Source organism: Homo sapiens, chromosome 14 (genome assembly GCF_000001405.40).
Source record: "Homo sapiens chromosome 14, GRCh38.p14 Primary Assembly".
In the NCBI taxonomy this organism is placed as follows: Eukaryota; Metazoa; Chordata; class Mammalia; order Primates; family Hominidae; genus Homo; species Homo sapiens.
In genome coordinates, this window is record NC_000014.9 from 44,698,975 (window position 1) to 44,702,517 (window position 3,543).

The window sequence follows — 3,543 nt, forward strand, 5'->3', positions numbered from 1 at the left end:
ATACCTAATGTAGGTGACAGGTTGATGGGTGCAGCAAACCACCAGGGCACGTGTATACCTATGTAACAAACCTGCATGTTCTGCACGTGTAACCCAGAACTTAAAGTATAATTTAAAAAATATGTATTAGCTGGGCGTGGTGGTGTGTGCCTGTAGTCCCAGCTACTCAGGAGGCTGAGGCAGGAGAATCGCTTGAACCCGGGGAGCAGAGGTTGCAGCAAGCTGAGGTTGCAGTGAGCCGAGACTGTGCCACTGCACTCCAGCCTGGCAACAGAGCGAGACTCCGTCTTAAAAAAAAAAAAAAAAAAGAATGAGGAAATTTGACATTTGGAACCTACATTCAAATCCCATTTGTTAGCTGTGAGACCTTGGGTAAGTTCATGAACCTCTCTCTGTGAGTCATTCGTGGAAAAGGGTCATAGATCCACCCATTACTGGGGCCATGAGGTATACATGAAGAATAATGTTTATCTGGAAACTCACAGGGTGAAAGACCACAGACTCCAAAGATCTCCTGTCCTCATGCCACCTACGAGCTGAGTTGGGCAGGGGTGGCTGGTGCCACAGTCTGGATATGGTTTGTTTATCCCCACAAAAGCTCATGTTGAAATTGGATCCCCAGTGTGGTAGCATTTGGGAAGTGGGGGGCTTTGTGGGAGGTGTTTGGGCTCCAGATCCCTCAGGAATGGCTTGGTGCTGCTCTCAGGTTAGTGAGTTCTGGCTCTCTGAGACTGGATTAGTTCCCATAGGAATGGATTAGTTCCCATCAGAGTGAGTTGCTATAAAGCCAGGAGACTCCTCGGCTCTCCCCCTCTTCACTCATGTCCACTTCCCTTTGACCTTCTCTGCCATGTTGTAACTTGGCACAAAAGCCCTCACCAGAAGCCAAGGCTATGCCCTTAAACTTCTCAGCCAGAAGAATTATGAGCTAAATAAACCTCTTTTCTTCATTAAAAATGAATAAATAAGTAAATAAAAATCATTCTTATCTGTGATGGCTGAAGTACTTTGTGAAAGAGGTGGTCTTTGGTGGTTAACACTTAAATAAATGGAAAAAATTGGGGAATCAATTCCAAACTGCATGAATAGTATGAGCAAAGGAAAAATTTCACGTGGCATGTCCAGAAATGGCAACAGTTATACCAGTGCATTTAGAGCTGAGATTTCATACAACGATGTTTCAGGGCATGGTCTCATTGGTTTGAGTTCAGCTCAATCTCTGCCATCTTAGGTGATTTCTAACCTTACTGAGCCTCAGAATTCTTATCTATGCTTTCATCAAAGTATAACGAATATTAAACCAGATCACTTAGCAAAATGCCTTGAATAAAATGGGTTCTCAGTAAGTATTAACTATGAGTGTCTCATGAGGGAAGTGTGAGCCAAGATTGGAGATGTGGTTAAGAGGCATATTGTAGATGATCTAAAGAGCGAAGCATGCCTGGAATTTCTGAGCAAAGTCACCCTCAATAAACCTATACTCACATAACCTCTAATTCCACAGTGTAAATAAAAAACCACTGTGGACCCATGGTCTCATATATAGCAATTAAATATACAGGTTCTTGTACTCAAACAGAGATTTAATGAATCAGATTCTCCAGAGCTGCGACATGAGAAATTTGCCTTTGTTTAAATGATTATAATGGATAGCCAGGCTTGGGAACTACTGCCTTAGACCACAAAGTCCAAGAAAAATGTAGCCAAGACATGAAAATGTAGAACTAGAGGGGAAAAGCCTTTAATAATAGCCAGATACTTTATTCTACTAAAATTAAGGATATTAATGAAACCAATCCTCCCCAAAGTCACGCCTTGTATCTTGTCATCACAGAAACTGCACTACTTCTACAATCAAATCAAACATCTCCATTGCTCACCATGACTTCCTCCCATCCATTGTTCATGTTCATCTACTATGACTGTTTGGGGGCTATATTTGTTTGCTGAGGCTATTGTAACAAAATATCACAGTCTGGTTGGCTTAAACAATAGACATTATTTTCTCACAGGTCTACAGTCTTTCATCCACAATCCCCTCTCCAAACTTACTTCCCTAATTAACCTTTCTCATTTTGGGATCTTGGCTTAAGCACCACATACTCAGTAAGCCTTCAAGACACAATCTAGGTCTTTGCTGTTGCTCTAATAAAAATATATGTCTTCACTTAAAAGCCCAACTCAGGTTTGTAATTAAATACTTTTTTGGAGTCGTTGTGTGATTAACATCTACCTCCTGTGCTAAGCAAAAATTCCATTTAGTATCAAATTTAACACTATTAACTCCTTGACAGCAAGGACAATGTATATTTTTGATCACCCTTGATTTCTGTTGCCCAGTTCCTGACACTTTTTAGGCACTCAGTATTTGTTGAATAAACAAAAGCAAACATGGATTTCTAAATAAAACGGCCTTGCCCATAGCCACTGAGAAAGGCAGGCAACCATATTTTGTACCATAATGCCAGCAAAATACTTAGCATGGCTGATTTGACCAAACGTAGTAGATTAGCACCTTAAAACTTAGTGGTTTTAAACAACAGCCATTAATTTAGCTCATGATTATATGGGGCAGTAATTATTTGTGCTGGACTAACGGGTTGACCTAACTGACCTGGACCAGGGTTAGCTGATCTTGGTTGGGCTCACTCATGCATTTTGCTGTCAGCTGCCAGGTGTCTGGGGGCTGCCTAGTCTAAGATGACTCAGCAGGGACTGCTTATCTCTGTTCATCTGGTCTCTCCAAGAAGCCTAGCCCAAGCATATTCGCATAGCCTGTTTCCAAGTGCTCAAAGCCTCCAGAGGACCAAGCAACAACTGCACATCATCTCTGCTCCATTATATTGGCCAAAGCGAGTCATTAGGCTGGCCCAGATTCAAGGATAGAGAAATAGACTCCATTTCTTAGTGACAGGAGCTGCAAAGCTATACTGCAAAGGTGTGGCTACAGGGAGGGATGGGGAATTATGACTCTTTGCAATCTACCATACCATGAACTGGAAGGCCAATGACTTATGGCATGATATGGAATACAAAGGCGGGCTAAGACAATAAGATTCTTATTCTTAGGAATCTGAAGAATGCAGAAACACAAGGAGATGGAGCAATTTTTAAGAGCTGAAGCTAAAAGCAGTCAGGCAGGACAATGTCAGTGAGCTCTATGCCAGCCAGAACTATAAAGAAATTAAAGATCTGAATAAGCAAGGGAAATTGGCAGAGAAAGAATGGCTCAGACACAGAACCAATTCAGAGATGCTATGGGAGAGACCCTGAAAAAGATGGAGAAAGAAGCTGGAAATTTGAGCTGTTTTAGTTCCTCTTCACCAATACATACTTCCTATAATTGATCCCAGTTTCTTTCAGGCTGAATTCTTCACAACCAAAAGTCTAACAAAATCAGTATGTGATAAGTATACATGAAATCTTTTCTTTTTCTTTTTCTTTTTCATTCTTTCTAAATAGAACTATCTCACCCAACCATCCACACACACAAAAAAAAAAGGAAAAAAAGCTGCTTCTTTGAATGCACAGATAAATTTTATG